Genomic DNA, 21,149 nt, shown 5'->3' with positions numbered 1-21,149 from the left:
TCCCACCTAACCCTCCCAAATAGCTGGGACTACAGGCAAGCACCACCACATCCTGCTAATTTTTAGATTTTTTTGTAGAGATGGAGTCTTGCTGTGTTGCCTAGGCTGGTCTCAAGGGATCCTCCTGCCTTGGCCTTCCAAAGTTGTTGGGATTACGGGTGTGAGCCACCACACTGGTCCAGATATTAATTTTTTGTCACTTATATGTGTTATAAGTATCTTCTAACATTCTGTGGCTTACCAACACTTTAGTTATTTTTCTTTCTCTTTCTTCCTCTTTCTTTCTTTCCTTTTCTTTTCTTTTCTTCTTTTCTTTAAGTGATAGAGTCTCATTCTATTGCCCAGGCTGGTCTTCAAGTTTTGGGCTCAAGCTGTCTTCCCACCTCATCCTCCTGAGTAGCTGGAATTACAGGCATAAGCCACCATGCCCAGCCCAATAAGATATTTTGAGAGAGAGAGACCACATTCATATAACTTTTAATACAGTGTAATTGTTCCAGCTTATTATTAGTTGTTGTAATCTCTTACTGTGCCTAATTTATAAATTAAACTTTATCATAGGTATGTGTACATATGAAAAAACAGTATAGGCCAGGCGCAGTGGCTCATGCCTGTAATCCCAGCACTTTGGAGGCCAAGGCAGAGTTCACCTGAGGTCAGGAGTTCAAGACCAGCCTGGCCAACATGATGAAACCCTGTCTTAGCCAGGCATGGTGTCATGTGCCTGTAATCCCAGCTACTGGGGATGGGGGACTGAAGCAGGAGGATCGCTTGAACCCGGGAGGCGGAGGTTGCAGTGAGCTGAGATCGTGCCACTGCACTCCAGCCTGGGCAACAAAGTGAGACTCTGTCTCAAAAAAAAAAAAAAAAAAAAAAACATAATATATATAGGGTTCCTTACTCTCCACATACAGGGTTCCATACTATCCACAGTTTCAGGCAACTACTGGGGGTCTTGGAACATATTCTCTGAAGATAAGGGGGAACTACTGTAGTGTTATTTTACTTTAAATTCTATAATTGTTCTACCTTTAGCCATTGTGAACTGCATCGTATATATTTTTGTCATCTTCTTACCATTACCTTTTAGCATACACATTCAACAAACATTTGAGGCTGGGCATGGTGGTTCACGCCCGTAATCCCAGCACTTTGGGAGGCCGAGACAGGTGGATCACCTGAGGCCAGGAGTTCGAGACGTGGCCAACATGTGAAACCCCAACTCTACTAAAAATACCAAATTTAGCCGGGCATGGTGGCGTGTGCCTGTAATCCCAGCTACTCTGGGGTCTGAGGCAGGAGAATTGCTTGAACCCAGGAGGTGGAGGTTGCAGTGAGCTGAGATCGCGCCACTGCACTCCAGCCTGGGTGACAAGAGTGAAACTCCGTCTCAAACAAAAAAAATATTTGAGAACCTACTGTGTGCCCTGGGCTAATAGTGGAACAGACTAAAGAAGAGGAATGAAACGGGAAGCTAGACAGAAGAATTTGAATATCAGCATATGAACGTTAGTAGGAAGTGGCAAGCTCCCGCTTGGGCTTGAGAAGGTCATCCAGTTACAGGGAAGCCAATGGTTGGCCCTTTGGTGATTGGCCAGATAAGGCGGAAGTTTTGCAGTCACTCCTTGGTTTCTGGCGTGAGCAATGGCTGGAAGGGGCATAACTGGCTGAGATAGGCCACCCTGGAGGAGGGCCAGGTTGTGACAGTGCACTATGAAAGTGCAGAGTGGAGGGAGAAGATAGCTCAGGAGGGATGGATTTGGGGGAGAACCGACGTGGGGGGAGGTGATAGGAGGAAGACTAGCTAGCCAGGAAGATAAAGAAGAAACCACCAAAGAGATAGGAGAGGACCTGGGGTGCAGATATTTCCAAGAAGGGACAGGCTCCGTGTGTCAAATGCTGCAGAGAAATCCAGCTGGGAGCCGGGCACAGTGGCTCATGCCCGTACTCCCAGCACTTTGGAAGGCAGAAGTGGGAGGATCATTTGAGCCCAGGAGTTCAAGACCAGCAACATAATGAGATCTCATCTCTACCAAAAATTTAAAAAAAAGAAAAAATGAGACAGGAGGATTGCTTGAGCCCAGGAGGTCGAGGCTGCAATGAGCTGTTGATTGTGCCACTGCACTCCCACCTGGATGACAGAGTGAGACCCTGTCTAAAAAAAAAAAAAAATCCAGCCAGGGATCTGGGGTCACCCATTAGACGTGGCCATTAATAGGTTCTTCATGGAAAGGGGAGATGGGGGAGAGGCTTGGCGGAGGAAGAGGAGAGTGTCACTCTGAGTTGAGCTGTGAAGGGGAGGAGAGCCATAGGGCCATGGCTCTAGGTAAAGGAGGATTGTCCGGTGGGTTTAACAGGACAGACTCGGGCTTTGGGGGAGGCATGAGTAGAGGGAGAGTGGGCTTCTTGGAGAGCGGTCGACTGAGGGAGGGAGACCAGAGGCCTGGGTATGTGTCGGTAGCTGACGGAGGACTCAGGGTGGCAGGGAGTGGTATTGAACAGCCTGAGCCCCCAGTGGATGGGTGGAGCTGGGGGAGGGAAGGTGATTTATTAAATTCTTCAAGATCCAAGGACGTTTACTGAATGGAGAGAAAACCTCACTCTTGCCAAAACTTGGTTTCATGTGCAGTTTATTAAGCTAATGGGTTTATCAAATAATCGATATCTCTTTAAACAATCAACATCTCTTTAATATTCACCTAAGCAAAAGTTAACACTTAGGAGTTCGACAAATTAAATTTTTCCTAACATATTAAACATGAATTACCTAGACCGGCCACAGTGCTTCACACCTGTAATCCTAGCACTTTGGGAGGCTGAGGCGGGCAGATCACTTGAGGTCAGGAGTTTGAGACCAGCCTGGCCAACATGGTGAAACCCTGTCTCTACTAAGAATACAAAAATTAACCAGGTGTGGTGGTGCACACCTGTAATCCCAGCTACTCAGGAGGCTGAGGCATGAGAATCACTTGAACCCGGGAGGTAGACGTTGCAGTGAGCTGAGATTGTGCCACTGCACTCCAGCTTGGGTGACAGACTGAGACTTTGTCTCAAAAAATAATAATAAATAAAAGTACTCATGTTTATATTTAAAAAACATGAATTACCTAAACAATGAAAATTAAAATACTATCGTGCATTTACTATGCATCAAGCACTGTTTGAAGTGCTTTGAACGTATTCTTCATTTAATTCTCACAACAGCCCCATGAAGGACATTCAATTATTATCATCTGGTTCCCACTTTGCAGCTGAGGAAACTGAAGCCCTGAGAGGTGAAGTGACTTGCCCAAGGTCACACAGCTGGTGAATGTTAGCATTGGGATTTTTAACTCGGTCCCATGGGCCCTGGAGACTCTGCTTCAATTACACACCGTAATGAAATTATGGATGATTTATCTGAACACTTTAAACGCCTTAAACAGTTTTTTTTTTTTTCTGAGACGGAGTCTCAATCTGTTGCCCAGGCTGGAGTGCAGTGGTATGATCTCGGCTCACTGCAACCTCTGCCTCCCAGGTTAAAGCGATTCTCCTGCCTCAGCCTCCCGAGCATCTGGGATTACCTGCATGTGCCACCATGCCCGGCTAATTTTTGTATTCTTAGTAGAGACGGGGGTTTCACCATGTTGGCCAGGCTGGTCTTGAACTCTTGACCTTGTAATGTGCCCACCTCAGCTTCCCAAAATGCTGAGATTACAGGCATGAGCCACCATGCCCGGTTTTTTGTTTGTTTGTTTGTTTGTTTGAGACAGGGTCTCACTCTATCGCCCAGGCCAGAGTGCAGTGGTGCGATCTCGGCTCACTGCAACCTCTGCCTCTAGGGTTCAAGCGATTCTTCTGCCTGTAATCTTGTAATCCCAGCTACTCAGGAGGCTGAGGCATGAGTAGCTGGGATTACAGGCACCTGCCACCACACCCAGCTAATTTTTGTATTTTTAGTAGAGATGGGGTTCCACCATGTTGGCCAGGTTGGTCTCGAACCCCTGACCTCAGGCGATCCACCCACCTCGGCCTCCCAAAGTGCTGGGATTACAGGCGTGAGCCACTGCACCCGCCCAACAATTTTTTTTTTTTTTTTTTTGGGGACAGGGCCTCACTCTGTCACCCAGGTGGGAGTGCAGTGGCACAATCATGGCTCACTGCAGCCTCGACCTCCCCAGGCTCAAGCAATTCTCCCACCTCAGCTTCCCTGGTAGCTGGGACCACAGGTGCATGCCACCATGCCAAGCTAATATTTTGTATTTTTTGTAGAGATGGGGTTTTGCCATGTTGGCCAGGCTGGTCTCAAATTCCTGGGCTCAAGTGATCCTCCCGTCTCGGCCTCCCAAAGTGTTGGGATTACAGGCATAAGCCACAGCACCTGGCCACCCTAAACAATTGACAAAGCATACACCAATCAAATTATTTGAAACATACTAAATCTGGTTATCTGGCAAACTGAGGGTTTCTTTGTGATGGTAAACTTCCAAACTCTCTTTATTTTTGATTTAATTTAATTTTATTTTGAGACAGGATCTCCCTCTGTCGCCAGGCTGGAGTGCAGTGGTGCGATCTAGACTCACTGCAATCTCCGCCTCCTGGGTTCAAGCGATTCTCCTGCCTCAGCCTCCCGAATATCTGGGACTACAGATACAAGCCACCACAGCCAGCTAATTTTTGTATTTCTAGTACAGACGCGGTTTCACTTGTTGGCCAGGATGGTCTCAATTGCTTGACCTCATGATCTGCCTGCCTCAGCCTCCCAAAGTGCTGGGATTACAGGCGTGAGCCACCATGCCGGGACACACCAGCTTATTTTTATATTTTTCAGAGATGGGTTTTCGCTGTGTTGGCCAGGCTGTTCTCGAACCCCTGACCTCAAGTGATTCGCCCACCTTGGCCTCTCAAAGTGCTGGGATTACAGGCGTGAGACACTGTACCTGGACCCAAACTCTCTTTAAAGTAGAGGTGTCTCTTCTGTCCTTGCTTGCTTTTTGCCTTCATCTCATGCCCCATCCCCCCATCCCGCTGATCCCGCAGAGGCCTGTCCATGATTACAAGCATGTTTTGACCCTCGAGCCCTCCTGTCTGTGTAGCCCTGATGCTTTCCTGGTTTATCTCAGGTTAGCCTAATTCTCTGTCTTGCTGATGCTCAGACTACCAGCAATGGGCTTCTCAGCACTGCCTCTGACATCCTTGAAAGTTTTCTTGCTTCCTGGGATCAACCAGATTTTCAAGTCACATGCTGATTTTCTGTTTTTTGTCTTGAGACAGGGTCTCACTCTGTTGCCCAGGCTGGAGTGCACTGGCGCAATCACGGCTCACTTCAGCCTCAACCTCCCAGGCTCAAGAGATCCTCTGCTCTCTGCCTTCCAAGTAGCTGAGACTACAGCCACACACCATCATGCCCAGCTAATTTTTTTTTTTTGGAGACAAAGTCTTGCTCTATCGCCAGGCTGGAGTGCAGTGGTGTGATCTCAGCTCACTGCAACCTCCACCTCCCAGGTTCAAGTGATTCTCCTGCCTCAGCCTCCCGAGTAGCTGGGACTACAGGTGCGTGCCACCACGCCCAGCTAATTTTTGTATTTTTAGTAGAGACGGGGTTTCACCACGTTGGCCAAGATGGTCTTGATCTCTTGACCTCGTGATCCCCCCACCTCGGCCTCCCAGAGTACTGAAATTATAGGCTTGAGCCACTGCGCCCGGCCAAGCCCAGCTGATTTTTAAATTTTTTGTAGAGACAGTGTCTCACTATGTTGCTCAGCTGGTCTCGACCTCCTAGGCTCAAGCAGTCCTCCCACCTCAGCCTCCCAAAGTGCTGGGATTATAGGCATGAGTCACTGCACCAGGACCTGACTTTCTTTTTCACACCCCAAGACAGAGAATCCATTATCATCCTAAGAATCTTATTTCCTTTGAGTGGAAAAGTATTAGAGATTAAAATCTGGATGTGGGGCCACATTTAGTGTGGTCAGTGGCCTCCAGTGGCGAAGAGTCCTGGTGTGAGCAAACACCCCCATGGTGAGGTCCTGCAAATCCAGGGCCTGCTGGGCAGATGAGGCAGAAGACAGAGGTATTTATACGTCACAGCTACTGGCAGTCCTTCATGGCATCTACCCTCCAGGCCTTCCTGACTGAGATGAAGAAGGAATGGCAGGAGCCACCAAACCGCCGGCTCATTTCATCATTGACACACCTGCTACAGGCTTCCAGCATGTTTACCTCTCTGCTAAATCACAGGAGGAAATCCATACTAATTCCTGGGGTTTGCTGGCCAAAATGATGTGTAACTTGGTGCATGAATGGCTCCTACAGGCTCTGGGCTGCTGCTTCTCTCTGCACAGACCCAGGATTAGGTGTGTTTACTCTCCCCTAGGCTTGGAGGCTTCCAGGTCCCTCAGCTTTGGTTTCAAACTTCTGTATCCCAGGTGCCTAGCACAGTGCCTGACACATGGGTGGTGCAGAGTGGGTTCAAAATAAATGTTTGTAGATTGACTACCTGAATGAATAAATGAACCAACTTCCCCCATCTTCTCAAAGTGGAGGCTAGGAAACTCCATTCTTCCTATTTCCAAAGAATAAACTGAGGCACAGACTGGAAACCGCGCCCCACCCCACGGCTGATATCGGAACCAGTATGTTTCCTCCAAAGCAAGATGGGTTAATGTTGGCCCCTCCCAAGTCTCTCAGCTGACAGCGCTGGGTTCTGAGATAGAAGCCTGGGCCCCATAGACACCAGTCTCTACTCCCCACCCAACCCCACCCAGGGCCCCTTCAACACCACGGGCCCAGAGCCAGTTGAAATTAACCAGTGCAGGGACAGGCCTGTGGCTCTGGGTCCTGACTGGCTGCTCCACAGTCTGTTCAAAAAGAAACAAGAGGTGGCAGGGCGCGGGGGCTCACACCTGTAATTCCAGCACTTTGGGAAGCCTAAGCAGGTGGATCACTTGAGGTCAGGAGTTCGAGACCAGCCGGGACAACATGGCAAAAACCCTTCTCTACCAAACATACAAAAAATTAGCCAGGCATCATGGCACATGCCTGTAATCCAAGCTACTTGGGAGGTTGAGGCAGGAGAATCACTTGAGCCCAGGAGGCAGAGGTTGCAGTGAGCGAGAACGTACCACTGCACTCCAGCCTGGGTGACAGAGTGAGACTCCGTCTCAAAAAAAAAAAAAAAAAACCTAAAAAAAACAAGAGGAGCTGGGGAGTGGTGGCTCACTCTTGTAATCCCAGCACTTTGGGAGGCCAAAGTGAGAGGATCACTTGAGTCCATGAGTTTCAGACCAGCTGATGCAATATTGGGAGACCCGGTCTCAACAACAACAATTAGCCCAGCATGGTGGTGTGTGGCTGTAGTCCCAGCTACTTGGCAGGCTGAGATGGGAGGATCGCTTGAGCCCAGGAGTTCGAGGCCGCAGTGAGCTGTGATCGCACCACTGCACTCCAGCCTGGGTGACAGAGCCAGACCCTGTCACTAAAAACAAAAAGAAAGAAACAAGGAGCCAGAGGAGGGGGAGCTTGGACTTGGGGGCTCCCTGTCCTTCTCCAGGCTCTCAGAGGGACAGCTGAGTCTGAGTGGAGTCATCTAGGGTCCGCTTGACTTCCCACCACACAGGGAGACTGAGGCACAGAGGAGGAATAGACATTTCTGGGGTTTTCCCTGTGAGGTCTCCCCAGAGCTCAACCTTCCTGCTGGGATTAGGGGTGGGCTTCTCAAGTCCCCTACTTGGGAAAGTCCACAAAGGAGGAGAAGCCAGGGCCAGGGGTTTGGGGCCCAGAGAGTTTTTGCTCCATCAGCCAGGCCTTTGGGCATCTAACGCCCTGCCTGGAGCATTCTGAAGGTGGCAGAGGCCCCTGGTCTCAGGGCCCAGCACAGGGAAGACTCCCACAGCAGCCCCCATGCCCACTGGGGTTTTCTCCTAAAAGTGATCGCTACTATTTATCAAACTCAACTGTGTGCATGGAGCTGTGCTAAGGGCTGCCTGTGCAACGTCTTCCTATCAGCACAACCTCTCTAGGAGGCTGGGTGTTAAAGATGAAGAACTGTTTTTTTTTTTTTTTGAGACGGAGTCTCTCTCTGTCGCCCAGGCTGGAGTGCAGTTGCGAGATCTCAGCTCATTGCAACCTCTGCCTCCCAGGTTCAAGCGATTCTCCTGCCTCAATCTCTCAAGTAGCTAGGTTTACAGGCAGCTGCCACCACACCCAGCTAATTTTTTGTATTTTTAGTAGAGATGGGGTTTCACCATGTTGGCCAGGCTGGTCTCGAACTCCTGACCTCAGGTGATCCACCCACCTTGGTCTCCCAAAGTGCTGGGATTACAGGCGTGAGCCACTATGCCTGGCCATAAGGATGAAGAACTTGACTTTAGAGACCTCTGGGAACTTATTCAAGGTCGCACAACTAGTAAGACACCAGACCCTCTCAAAGCCATTGGCTTAACTGCTCCCCTACCTGCCCTGCCAAACACACACAGTGGGGGACACACCCATAGCCCTGGCCCTGTGACAGACCCTGCCATCAGCTGTCAGGTGGAGGCCCCAAACATCTGGCTTAGCAGATAGGACAGACCAAGAAGGGCTGGAGCTGCTCCCCAAGGGAGGCTTGGCCCTTTTCTGGGGGAACTATCTGTTCCCTCCTCCAGGACTAACACAGACAGAGTTTTTCCAGCAAGGAAGGGGCCCTCATGGGCTTGGATGGGAGGCCAGGACTGAGAAGAGGAGCTACCTGCCCTGAGGAAGGTTGGGTCAGCCATCGAGAGGCACCAGGAACCAGGGGATTTGTAGGGGAAAAAAGACAGGGGCAAGCCAGAGGGAAGATGGGAGCTGATCGCCCACAATGCCATCCTCACCCCCTTGGGTACACCAGCCGCTGCCTTGTCATACAGACATACCCTAGGACACGCAGGCATATTGGGCACAGATGCAAGAGAGACTTTCCCTTTACCTCCACCCACCCCCCTGCTCCCCCTTCCATTGTCCAGCCCAGGCCTAGCCAGGAGTATGGGTGGTCCAGTTACTTGCTGCTGTTTTGGGTTAATGTGGATTCACAGCTGCAGTGATTCTTTTTATTTATTTATTTATTTATTTATTTATTTATTTTCAGACGGACTCTTGCTCTGCCGCCCAGGCTGGAGTGCAGTGGTGCCATCTCAGCTCACTGTAATTTCCGCCTCCTGGGTTTAAGCAATTCTCCTGCCTCAGCCTCCAGAGTAGCTGGGATTACAGGTGTGTGCCACCACGCCCGGCTAATTTTTTTGTATTTTTAGTAAAGACTGGGTTTCACCATGTTGGCCAGGCTGGTTTCGAACTCCCGACTTCAAGTGACCTGCCCACCTCAGCCTCCCAAAGTGCTAGGATTACAGGTGTGAGCCACTGCAACTGGCCCGTGATTCATATTTTAACAGTGTTTGGTTGGCTTTAAATAAAGTGCATAGCAGGGGTGGGGGAACCCCTCCTTAATGCTGGGGTTCCTTTCACACAGCCAGTGTTGTCCAGGGGAGCCCAAGTGCACCCTTCTAGACACAGCGCCTCCCTACCCTGGCTCCAAGCATCAGGGGCCCTCTGATGGCACCTGGGATGCTGCCTGGGGCTGACCCTCGACCTCTACCTTTACCCCACAGCAGAGGAGGTTGTTCTGTGGTTCCGGGTATTTCAAAGGGTCACGCCTTGGTCGGGGCTGGGGCAGTGCAGAGGCAGCTTCCCCAGCAGTGACCACAGGCAGTCAGCCTCCATCACCCTTTGTTCTGAGCCACTGTGTGCCTGCTGCCCTGAAAGCAGAGGGTGACTGAGTCACAGGTGGGTCCTCAGGACCTAGCAGAAGGGGAGGCATGCATGGCGGAGGTCCGACGGGCTTCAGGAGAGAGGAGAGGAAGGCCAGTCGTCCACGCCAGGTCCAAGTCGAAGAAGGAGTGGAAGCTGGACTGCAGAGAGGCCTGAGCTCAATTTTAAAGTGAATGAAGCTAAGGGAGTGCGCAGAGACAGGACCAGTAGGGCAGGCTGGGGACGGAGAGCAAGTTCACAGCAGGGGCCAGGTCAGAAGGAGGAACTTGAACTTTATCCTGAGGCCACATGGAACAGCTGGAAGGGTCAGAAGTGGGAGGGAGCCAGGAGTGCAGGGTCAGGGGAAGGAAGAGGGGGCCGCCGGCCATAGGTCCTCCTCCACAGGGCTCCCCAGCATAGATTCCCCCCAGACATAGGATAGGTACTCTCCCTACGCGGGTCTCACGCCCTGCAGGTTCTCTGCACCTGCATGCAGGCCCTTCCAGGCGCCCCCCTACGCCAGGCCTGCGTCCCGGCCACCTAAGCCTGAGTAGACAGAGCTGAGGTCTTCAGCCACCGACTTCAATGACGTAGTGAATCAGGGCTGGGAACCAAGGCCGTCCCCGCCCTACCCAGCCAGCCCTACAGGCCAAGGTCAGTCTTAGTCGGCTGTGGTTTCCGGTCTGCTGCTGCCCCGCCAGAGCCTGGCTCCCTCCAGCTGGTTTGACCTCAAAATCTCACCGACTGAGAAGAGCCATTTCCTGGAGAGTTTCCCCTCCCTACCCCCATCCCAAGTTTCAGTGTGTGAATCCCCAGTCCCAATCCAGCTCTGCTGCTTATGAGCTGTGTGACCTCGGGGAATTTACTTCACCTCTCTGTACCCTACTTTCTTCAAGTTTTAGGAAGATTGAGTACAGGCTGACAGTAAAGACAGCACCCCTTATTGAGGATGGTCTTTGTGATGTGTGATTAAGTCTTTTGTATGGATGAGGAAGTTGAGGGTCAGATGTTGCTAGTTGGGGAGAGCCCAGATTTCAGCCTCTCATCCTGGGCTGGGGCTTTTTCCAAGACTAAACTCTCCTTATTTATTTTTTATTTTATTTTTATTTTTTTGAGATGGAGTTTCACTCTCATCGCCCAGGCTGCAGTGCAATGGTGCAACCTTGGCTCACCGCAACCTCTGCCTCCCAGGTTTAAGCGATTCTCCTGCCTCAGTCTCCCGAGTAGCTGGGATTGCAGGTGCCTGCCACCGAGCCTAGCTAATTTTTGTATTTTAGTAGAGACAGGATTTTGCGATGTTAGCCATGCTGGTCTCAAGCTCCTGACCTCAGGTGATCCACTCGCCTTAGCCTCCAAAAATGCTGGGATTACAGGCATGAGTCACTGCGTCTAGCCTCCTTTTTTTTATTTTAATTTTTGTGGGTACATAGTAATTGTATATATTTATGGGGTACATGTAAGGGGTACATGAGGTGTTTTGACACAGGCATGCAATGTGAAATAAGCACATCATGGAGAATGGGGTATCCATCCCCTCAAGCATCTAAACACTCTTTGATGACCCTTGTGTGAGCTGGTGTTTTTGTTTTTGTTTTGAGACAAGGTCTTGCTCTGTCACCCAGGCCAGAGTGCAGTGGCATGATCATGGCTCACTGCACCCTAGACCTCCTGGGCCCAGGCGATCCTCCTGCCTCAGCCTCCTTAGTAGCTGGGACTACAGGCATGCACCACCCCACCTGGCTAATTTTTATATTTTTTTGTAGAAATGGGGTTTCACCATGTTGCCCAATCTGGTCTTAAACTCCTGGGCTCAAGCAATCCACCCGCCGGGGCCTCCCAAAGTGCTGGGCTGGGATTACAGGCATGAGCCACCATGCCCGACCGTGTGAGCAGGTGTTGAACGAATAAAGGAATAGTAACTGCTGGTTGACTTGGTCATTTTGAACCCCTGGGTCTCTGGAAACTTGTGAGCCATCTGAGGGCAGCTCTATCCACCCGTGGGCTGATTTTCACCCCTGGGGACAGAGACTAGACAGTGGGATTAGTAATGGTTAGAGGGTACCTAAAAGGATGGGAAGATGCAGGCCAGGATGGGAATTAGAGGTGACCTGGGAGGTCAGCACTACAGGGTACAGGAATGACGCTGTCAAATTTTCTCCATCAGAGGGTTCCACCCATCCTTCAAGGTGTCTCTTCCTTGAAGCCTTCCCTGACCACTTCATTCTCTTGTTTAATAATTCCTGGGACATGAGAAGCTACAGCTCAGCCCCTGTGAGCTGACTGTACCCTGTGACTGCATGTGACACAGTCTGACCATTATGCAGCATCAAATCATTTCTGGAGAGCTTGCCAATACATTAGCTCACTTAACCCTCTTAACAGCCCTGGGACGGAGGAGTTACGTGTTTATCACCTCGGTTCTAAGGTCCAGAGAAGTTTGAATGTCTTGCTCACAGGAGCATTGGCTGAGACTCAAGTTTAGGCTCCCTGGTTCCAAATCACATACATTCTGTTCATTACAGCACTTTACCTGAGGTTGAGGCTGCCTCTGCGTTCTGGGTGCTTACTTAAAACTCGAAGTTTCCTAGCAGCCAAGGTAAAAAGGGAAACCTGATGACTTAGATGGCCCTTCTCTGTCTGAAATAAAGAAACCTATCAGTTCATCTGGAGTTTCAGACAGTATCCGGTACTTACTTCCAGCAGGATTGATTTCATGGATTCTGTGTGACATCCTCACCCATTGATTTGCAGGAAGGTATTATGTTGATCCCATTAGAGGCTATAGGAATGATATTAGTGAGAACTTGGGGTGGAATTTCCCGGGGAAATTGCACTAAGAGATTCCAGGTGATTGCCTCCTGCCTTCTTTTCTTTTCTTTTTTTTTTTTTTTTAATAGAGATGGGGGTCTCCCTATGTTGTCCAGGTTGGTCTCGAACTCCTGAGCTCAAGGAATCCTGCTGCCTCAGCCTCCCAAAGTGCTGGGAATTACAGGCATGAGCCACCGCACCCAGCCATGTTTCCTGGCATCTAACTTGATCCAGGGTGCAGCTGAGACATCAGGGGAGCCAGCATGTGAAGTGGAAAGAGTTGAAAGAGTGCTGGAGCCACAGAGAGCAAGGTTCAAATCTTGGCCCTACTGCCAACTGTCCTTAGGCAAGTTATTTAATTTCTCTGAGTCTCATTTTCCCCACTTGTTAAGATGGGAACGAGAATGCATTCTCAAATCATTATTGTGGGGAGTCGTTCAATCATTCATTCAGTAAAAATGTAGAGCCCGCCTTTGCCAGGCTCTGTGCCTAGGCACTGGCGACATGACTACAGACAAGGATGGCAAAGGACCTGCCCCCATGAAGCTTATGTTCTAGAGGCAGCAATAGATCATAATAAACAAATAATTAAATAAGAAACTGTCAGCCGGGCACGGTGGCTCATGCCTGTAATCCTAGCACTTTGGGAGGCCGAGGCAGGTGGATCACAAGATCAGGAGTTCGAGACCAGCCTGGCTAATATGGTGAAACCCCGTCTCTACTAAAAATACAAAAATTAGCCAGGTGTGGTGGGGGCTGCCTGTAGTCCCAGCTACTCAGGAGGCTGAGGCAGGAGAATCACTTGAACCTGGGAGATGAAGGTTGCAGTGAGCCGAGATTGTGCCACTGCACTCCAGCCTGGGTGACAGAACAAGACTCTGTCTCAAAAAAAAAAAAGAAAGAAAGAAAGAAAGAAAGAAAGAAAGAAAGAAAGAAAGAAAGAAAGAAAGAAAGAAAGAAAGAAAGAAAGAAGGAAAGAAAGAAAAAGAAAAGAAAAGAAAGCATCAGCTGATAGGGAAAAGATAATTTAGTAGGTGATATGATGATATGATTCTGGCTGAGATTGCTAGGGGCCTTCTAATTTCCATTCTCCTCTTCTTCCAGTGTAATAGAACACAGGACTTCCCAGAATAAAAGCTACATTTCCTAGGCTCCCTTGAAGCTAAATGTAGCCATGGAACTGAGTCTGGGCCAATGGGATGTAAGCAGAAGCAACCTCTGGGAAATACCCTTAAAGAAAGGGGACACAGGCTGGGTGCAGTGGCTCACGCCTGTAATCCCAGCACTTTGGGAGGTCGAGGTGGGCAGAACACCTGAGGTCGGGAGTTCGAGACCAGCCTGACCAACATGGAGAAACCCCACCTCTACTAAAAATATAAAATTAGGCTGGGTGCAGTGGCTCACGCCTGTAATCCCAGCACTTTGGGAGGCCGAGGCAGGTGGATCATGGGGTCAGGAGTTGGAGACCAGCCTGGCCAACACGGTGAAACCCCGTCTCTACTAAAAATACAAAAATTAGCCAGGCACGGTGGTGTGTAGCCTGTGGTTCCAGCTACTTAGGAAGCTGAGGCAGGAGAATCGCTTGAACCCAGGAGGCAGAGGTTGCAGTGAGCTGATATCATGCCACTGCACTCCAGCCTGGGCAACAGAGCGAGACTCCGTCTCAAAAAAAAAAAAAAAAATACAAAATTAGCTGGGCATGGAGGCGCATGGCTGTAGTCCCAGCTACTTGGGAGGCTGAGGCAGGAGAATCGTTTGAATTGGGAGGCAGAGGTTGCAGTGAGCCAAGATGGCGCCATTGCACTCCAGCCTGGGCAACAAGAGCAAAACTCCATCTCAAAAAATAATAAAATAAAGAAAGGGGACACATTCCTCTTTACCCCTTCCTCCTACCTGCAGAGCAAGACTCTGTCTCAAAAAAAACAACAAAAAAAATAGAGACAGGGTCTTGCTATGTTGCCCAAGCTGGTCTCAAACTCCTGACCTCAAGTGATCCGCCTGCCTTGGCCTCCCAAAGTGCTGGGATTGCAGGTGTGAGCCACCGCGCCCAGCCAAGAAATAAACTTCTATCTTGCTTAAGCCACTAAAATTTTGAGTTTTCTCTCGCACACAGTCTGTCTTGATTTTCTTTGCCACAGCGAGAGTGGCTGGGGTTTTTGTCCAATTGGGTGATGAAAGAAGGCCTTAGAAGGCCTTTTGCAGGGGTAATATTTGACCTGAGACTTGCCTGGTGAGAAGGAGCCAGCCATGGGGAGATCAGGGAGGAGCATCCCGACAGGATGGCACTCGTGCTTTCGAGGAACAGAGGAGGTGAGCAGAGGGCAGGAGTTGCCCGGAGTAGGGAATGGGTGTGGGGAAGTCACAAAGGATTTTACACTCAGGATGATATCCTCTGATTTATGTTTCTAAAAGGTCACTCTGACTGCTGTGTGGCAACCGCATTGTAGGGGGCCTAAGTGAAGCCAGGAGGCCAGGTGAGAGACTCCTGGGGTGACGGAGGAGCATGATGAGGGGCCCGGCGGGTGGGCAGTGGAGATGGGGAGAAGAGGATAGAAGCATGAAGCTAGATCCAGTAGAATGAGCTGTTATTGGAAGTGGGGATTGGGAGTGAGGGAAAATTAAGAGTCAAGGAAGCAACTGGGTTTGGGGATTTGAGGAACCAAGTGGATGGAGAGGACTGGAGGAGGCTCAGGGTTTGTTTCTTTGCTTGCTTGTGTTTAGGGAAAGGATTCGAATAAAATAAGACTGTTAATGTATCACTTGTTTGACCTTTCTCAAATATTAGTTTTCTTTTCTTTTTGAGGCATGGTCTTGCCCTGTCACCCAGGCTGGAGGGCAGTGGCACTATCTTGGTTCACTGCAACCTCCACCGCTCAGGTTCAAGCAATTCTCGTGCCTCAGCTTCTCGAGTAGCTGGGATTACAGATGTGTGCCACCATGCCTGGCTAATTTTTGTATTTTTAGTGGAGATAGGGTTTCACCATGTTGACTATGCTGGTCTCGAACTCCTGACCTCAAGTGATCTGCCCGCCTTGACCTCCCAAAGTGCGGGGATTATAGGCATGAGCCACTGCATCCAGCCCAAATATTAGTTTTTTCACCTATACTTTTGGCAGTGGGGTAAGGGACAGAATTTTTTTTAATAGAGACAGGGTTTCACTGTGTTGCCCAGGTTGGTCTCAAACTCTCGGTCTCAAGTGATCCTCCTGCCTCAGCCTCCCAAAGTGCTGGAATTACAGGCATGTGCCACTGCACCCGGCAAAGGGACGGATTTTTGTATTGATTTCATTCAAGTCAACAAACTCATATAAACTATCAACTACCGGCAGAGCCCTGGTCAGGTTTAAGGACCTGAGTGAGGGTCCTTGTCCTTGGGAACATGATCTGTGGAGGAGACACACAGGACCATGGACCATCTCAGTAGGGAGCAGAGAGGCAATGACACAGGTAGGTGCTGGGCTGGGACCTGTCAATCTCCAGGGGTTGGAAGGTTGGCGGGAGAGAAGGAATTCACAGAGCTGGGAATGCAAACAATGAACCTTGAAGGTCAAAGCTTTGGTCCAGCAAGTTTGGAAAGGAAAGGCATCTCAGGACAAGGGAACAGTGCATGGAAAGATCCAGAAGCCAAGAGAACAGAGAACATTCAGAGAAAGGTGAGTGTCAAGACTCAGAGAGCTCACAGCCTGCCTTGAGCCCCTCAAGCAGATCCTCCTCCCAGGACACCCCCGCACACTGAACTCTCTGCAGAGCCAAGCTGACCCCACAGCTCTCCAAACCTGCCCTTGTTTTTGTTTTTTAAATTATTGAATTTATTTATTATTATTTTTTGAGATAGGGTCTTCCTCTGTTTTACAGGCTGGAGTGCGTGGTAGGATCTCAGCTCACTGCAACCTGGGCTCCGCCTCCTGGGCTCAAGTGATTGTCATGCCTCAGCCCTCTGAGGAGTTGGGATTACAGGCATGCGCCACCACACTCAGCAAATGTTTGTGTTTTTAGTAGAAACAGGGTTTCACCTTGTTGGCCAGGCTGCTCTCGATCTCCTGACCTCAAGTGATCTGCTTGCCTCAGCCTCCCAAAGTGCTGAGATTACAGGTGTGAGCCACCAAAATAGTTATTTATTTTCTTTATTAGAGACAGGGTCTCACTCACTCAGGCAGGAGTGCAGTGGTGCCATCATAGCTCACTGCAGTCTTGAACTCCTGGACTCAAGCGATCTTCCCATCTCAGCCTCCCAGGTAGCTAGGGCTACAGGCCTGTGTCACCACACTTGGCTAAAAAGGTAACTTTTTTTTTTTTTACTTTTTGTAGAGATGGTGTCTTGCTATGTTGCTCAGGCTGGTCTTGAGAACTCCTGGCTTCAAGGAATTCTCCCACCTTGGCCTCCCAAAGTGCCGATTACAGGCCTGAGCCATCACACTGGCCCAAACCTGCCCTTTGACCTCCCTCCTCCTCCCATTTGGAGAAACCGCCCCCATCCTTCAAAGTCCTGCTGGAACTCCCACTTCCCCTCTTCCTCCTCCTCAGCTCTCAGGGGACCCTGCAGAACTCCCAGCGTGTATCTCTGGAAGGATGCTCAGGGTGAGTTATTTTTGCACAGATCTGGCCTGGCTGCCCCTAGACAGTAGAAACCGCCTTCCTCCCAGGACTCCCCAGGGCCCAGCCGAGGGTGCTGGTGATGAGGGTCACGGGGCACAGGGTTCTGAGGGTAGGGGGACTGGACTGGCTCAGCTCTGAGAGCCTTTCCAGTTCCAGCCCCATCCCCCAGCTCTCCCGCCTGATTCCCCGCACCTCCCCACTCCCTCACCAGGTGATAATGATGACTGGTCCATTCCTAACGTGTGTGCACCCTGCCCCACTTCCATCCACCCCCAGACTGCTCAGGGCTGCACCTCACAACTCTGGGCCCTCCACCAGCATGGTCTCCCTGGGGACCTCACACTTCCCGCATTACTTGTCCCTCCGGGCCCATCCCTTGTTTACATCCCTTATCCTCCCTCTGAGGTTTGTATACACTCCCTGCTGGACATGAACTCCTATCGCTGCGTGGTCCCTGCCCTGCTGCCTTGGCTCAGGCTGCCTGATACACGAGCCCCGTGGCTCCTTCTCCCGTTCACTACTCAGCCCCTTGCCTGCATCTAGAGAAGACTATTTTCAAGCTCTTTCCCACCTGTCATCCCATGTGGTCACAACAGTCCAGAGAGGAAAAGGAAGTCCAGAGAGAGGGTGTGGTCAGCTCAAGATCACACAGGGCTTCCAACCCGAGGAGGTCCTCTACAGCCCACATGTCCCAGCCGTGGGACACTTCCCTTTAATGCAAAATCCCAGGGGTCTGAGTCCCTAGTCTATGAGGGCACAGAAAGCCGTATCTTCACCGAGCAATGTACATAGGTCCCTCCAGGCCACCTTGGCCAGACCACGTCCCCTCCTCCAGCCTCCTGGCTCCAGCCACCACACCTCCCTTCAGGTGCTCCCCCGTGCCATCTGGATGTCCACTCACCTTAGCTGCCACCGCAAACCATGGCCTGCTCTGCCCCAAACATGGTCTCAGACCCTCCCCTCCATCCGCATGGGGTAACAGAGGCAGGTGATCCAGTCCAGCAAGCTTTGCTGAGGACTTCAGGATAGCAGCTGAGAATTACCGGCTGAGCATGGAAGAAAAGATGTAAGGGTCTGCTCACATGGAATGGGTCTGCCCTCAGCAGTCACAGGCCAAGCTGACACCTCATTGCCAATCCCATTGCAAGAGACAGTTCCCTTAACCATCATCGAACCCCCGTCCTACCTAGTCTCAGCTTCTACTCCTTAGAGTAAGATAGAGAAAGCAGCTGGCCCTTCTAAGGCCACTACCCAGTCCTCACTTCTCACTTGAGGGCTGACTGCATCCAGGATGATTGAAAATGAGAAAGTAAGGCCAGGTGCAGTGGCTCACACCTGATATCCCAGCACTTTGGGAGGCCGAGGTGGGAAGATCACTTGAGGCCAGGAGTTTGAGACCAGCCTGGGCAACATAACAAGACCCTGTCTACAAAAAATACGAAACTCGCTGGGTGTAGTGGTGTGCGCCTGTAGTCCCCGCTACTCAGGAGGCTGAGGTAGGAGGATTACTTGAGCCGGGGAGGTGGAGGTTGCAGTGAGCCGAGATCACGCCACTGCACTTCAGCCTGGGTGACAGAGTGCGATTCTGTATCAAAAAAAAAAAAAAAAGAAAGAAAGAAAGAAAGAAAGAAAGAAAGAAAGAAAAAGGAAAAAGAAAATGAGAAAGTCTTGTCCTTTCAGAAGAACTCCACCCTCTGCCCACAGAGTCTCCCTCTGGGACAACCCATCCCAACCCGTGATCTGAGCTGTATGCTCTGAAATAACATCATACGGGGTTCGCCCTCAGCTCACTTCATTCCTGCTGACATCTGCCTGGGCTCCCGGCTTTCTCCCAAAGGAGTATAAATTTGAACGAGGACACATATGGACCTTGGGGAGGGGAATCTGAGGGCTCCTCCCTTAGTGCTCTAGGAAGTGGTAGAGCAGTAGTGACAAGAGGGACTCCAAGGAAAGAGCAGGATGGGCTGTGAGTGTGTGAAGGGCCACTCAGGGCACAGCTCAAGGCATCTTGGGGCTCTGCTCAAGCCCTCCAGGTGCCAATCTTTCTGACCACGACCATCTCTGTCCAGCCCGGGGCATAGTCAAAGGGAGGTAAGACTCCCTCGTGCCTTGCTTCCCCAGAGGGCAGCCTAGTGCCAGGCGCATGGAGGCCTTCAGATGAATCAAACTGACCCAAGTCCAAATTGGAATAAAATGAGTGAGGGTTGCCCTCACCTCTTCCTGGAAAAGCATAAACAAGAGTAAATGTGGGCCAGGCAAGGTGGCTCACACCTGTAATCCCAGCACTTTGGGAGGCCGAAGTGGGCAGATTACTTGAAGTCGGGAGTTTGAGACCAGCCTGGCCAACATGGTGAAACTCTACTAAAAATACAAAAATTAGCTGGGTGTGGTGTTGGGCGTCTGTAATCCCAGCTACTCAAGAGGCTAAGGCAGGAGAATCACTTGAACCCGGGCGGTGGAGGTTGCAGTGAGCTGAAATTGAGCCACTGCATTCCAGCCTGGGCGACAGAGTGAGACTCCATTTCAAAAAAAAACAAAAAACAAAAGAGGCCTGACACAGTGGCTTATACCTGTAATCCCAGCATTCTGGGAGGCAGACGAATCATCTGAGGTCAGGAGTTCAAGACCAGCCTGGCCAACATGGTGAAATCCCATCTCTACTAAAAATACAAAAAGTAGCCCGGCATGGTGGTGGGCGCCTATAATCCCAGCTACTTGGGAGGCTGAGGCAGGAGAATCGCTTAAACCCAGGAGGCGGAGGTTGCAGTGAGCCGAGATTGCGCCATTGCACTCTAGCCTGGTCAACAAGAGCGAAACACCGCCTCAAAAAAAAAAAAAAAAAAAAAAAAAAAAAGATTAAATGTGACATTGGGCAGAGTTAGAAAAGAAACATCTACATTCAGCCAGGGCAACAAGAATGATCTAGAACATGTGGTGTGAGTGGAAAGAACCAGCGTCCAAGCTGCTGTGCCTCTGCCTGGCTGTCTGGTGGGGCTGCCAGGGGGTGGTGCCTGCAGAACAGCCAAACAGCTGGCCAGATTTTCCCCCTAAGCCAGATGATGCCATTTGTTGTTCCACCCCCAGCCAGCTGTCAGTCCTTCCCGGGCCCCAGGAGAGGTGCCCCATTGCTGCCCCCTGCACTCAGCTGTCTCTGACTCCTAGGGCAGGCAGAGGGGCAAGGGGACTGGGCACACTGGCTGGGTCAAGGAGTCAAAGGTCTTCACTTGGCACTCACTGCCACAGGCCATAGGAAGCCAACCCAGTGTGGGCCCAGGGTTTGGGACAGATCCCACCAGCTGGAGCAGGAGAAGGCACCTCCAGCCCCCTTTAGCCAGGGCCTCTCTCTGTTCCTGACCGGCACCAAGGCCTGGGTGGTGGGAGGGGCTCAGATCTGGCAGAACACCAGCTGTCCAGGCAGATTAGCAGGTCGGAGTGCCCACGCTGGCTTCACCAGCCCAGAGGACTTGGGCAAGTCACTGCTCTCCTTTTGCTGCCCTTTCTCTGTGAGAGGTGAATAAACATCGTAAACAGTGTTGTCCTCAGATGGGCTTAGAGAGCTTGGCAAGCTAGAGCGTGTGAAGTCCAGGCATGGTGCACTGCACGGGGCAGGTGCTGGTCCGTTGGGCATTCTTTTTCCTGGGAAAGCCTCTCTGTGGCTTTGTTTCCTCCTCTGTGAAGTGGGGGGTTTGTAGGAATCCAGCGTGACCACAAGATGAAGGCCTCAGCATAATTCCTGGAACCGAGGTCCTCCATAAACAGGATTCTGCCTCAGGACCCGTGTCCCTCCCCTTTTCTCTCTCCACAGGACTCAGCCCCTGGCAGGCTTGTGGTGCAGATAGTGAATGGTCTTGCAGTGGCGGGATTTGTCCACCTGTGTGTCCCTGTGTTTGAGTTTCTTCTGCTTGAGTCTGAACTTCAGGCTGGTGGCCACATAACCCAACACTCTCACTTTACGGATGAGAAAACAGAAGCCCAGAGAGGGCCAGGGACTTGTCCAGGTTCCT

General features: G+C 50.7%; 1 long non-coding RNA gene across 1 annotated transcript, besides 3 other annotated features; it reads left to right on the top strand.

Moving 5' to 3' along the window:
* Window positions 1,377-1,996: a transcriptional cis regulatory region, noted in NCBI's record as "candidate enhancer chr17.2868 targeted for multiplex CRISPR interference". NCBI's record gives its function as "positively regulates SLC25A39 gene expression with high confidence in K562 cells {active_cell/tissue: K562}" and the evidence as "EXISTENCE:mutant phenotype evidence [ECO:0000015][PMID:30612741]".
* Window positions 8,387-8,680: a transcriptional cis regulatory region, noted in NCBI's record as "candidate enhancer chr17.2867 targeted for multiplex CRISPR interference". NCBI's record gives its function as "positively regulates SLC25A39 and SLC4A1 gene expression in K562 cells {active_cell/tissue: K562}" and the evidence as "EXISTENCE:mutant phenotype evidence [ECO:0000015][PMID:30612741]".
* Window positions 9,420-10,090: an enhancer, noted in NCBI's record as "H3K4me1 hESC enhancer chr17:42357552-42358222 (GRCh37/hg19 assembly coordinates)". NCBI's record gives its function as "activates a minimal SCP1, AML or CMV promoter by ChIP-STARR-seq in primed H9 embryonic stem cells {active_cell/tissue: H9 hESC(primed)}" and the evidence as "EXISTENCE:reporter gene assay evidence [ECO:0000049][PMID:30033119]".
* LOC105371790 (uncharacterized) lies at window positions 14,593-16,239 on the top strand. Its single transcript, XR_934778.4, has 4 exons — window positions 14,593-14,859; window positions 14,962-15,023; window positions 15,879-15,996; window positions 16,096-16,239. It is a non-coding gene; the product is annotated as an uncharacterized LOC105371790 (long non-coding RNA).

Source organism: Homo sapiens, chromosome 17 (genome assembly GCF_000001405.40).
Source record: "Homo sapiens chromosome 17, GRCh38.p14 Primary Assembly".
NCBI lineage: Eukaryota > Metazoa > Chordata > Mammalia > Primates > Hominidae > Homo > Homo sapiens.
Note: the sequence above shows the minus strand (reverse complement) of the source record. Positions and strands in the feature narration are given on the sequence as shown.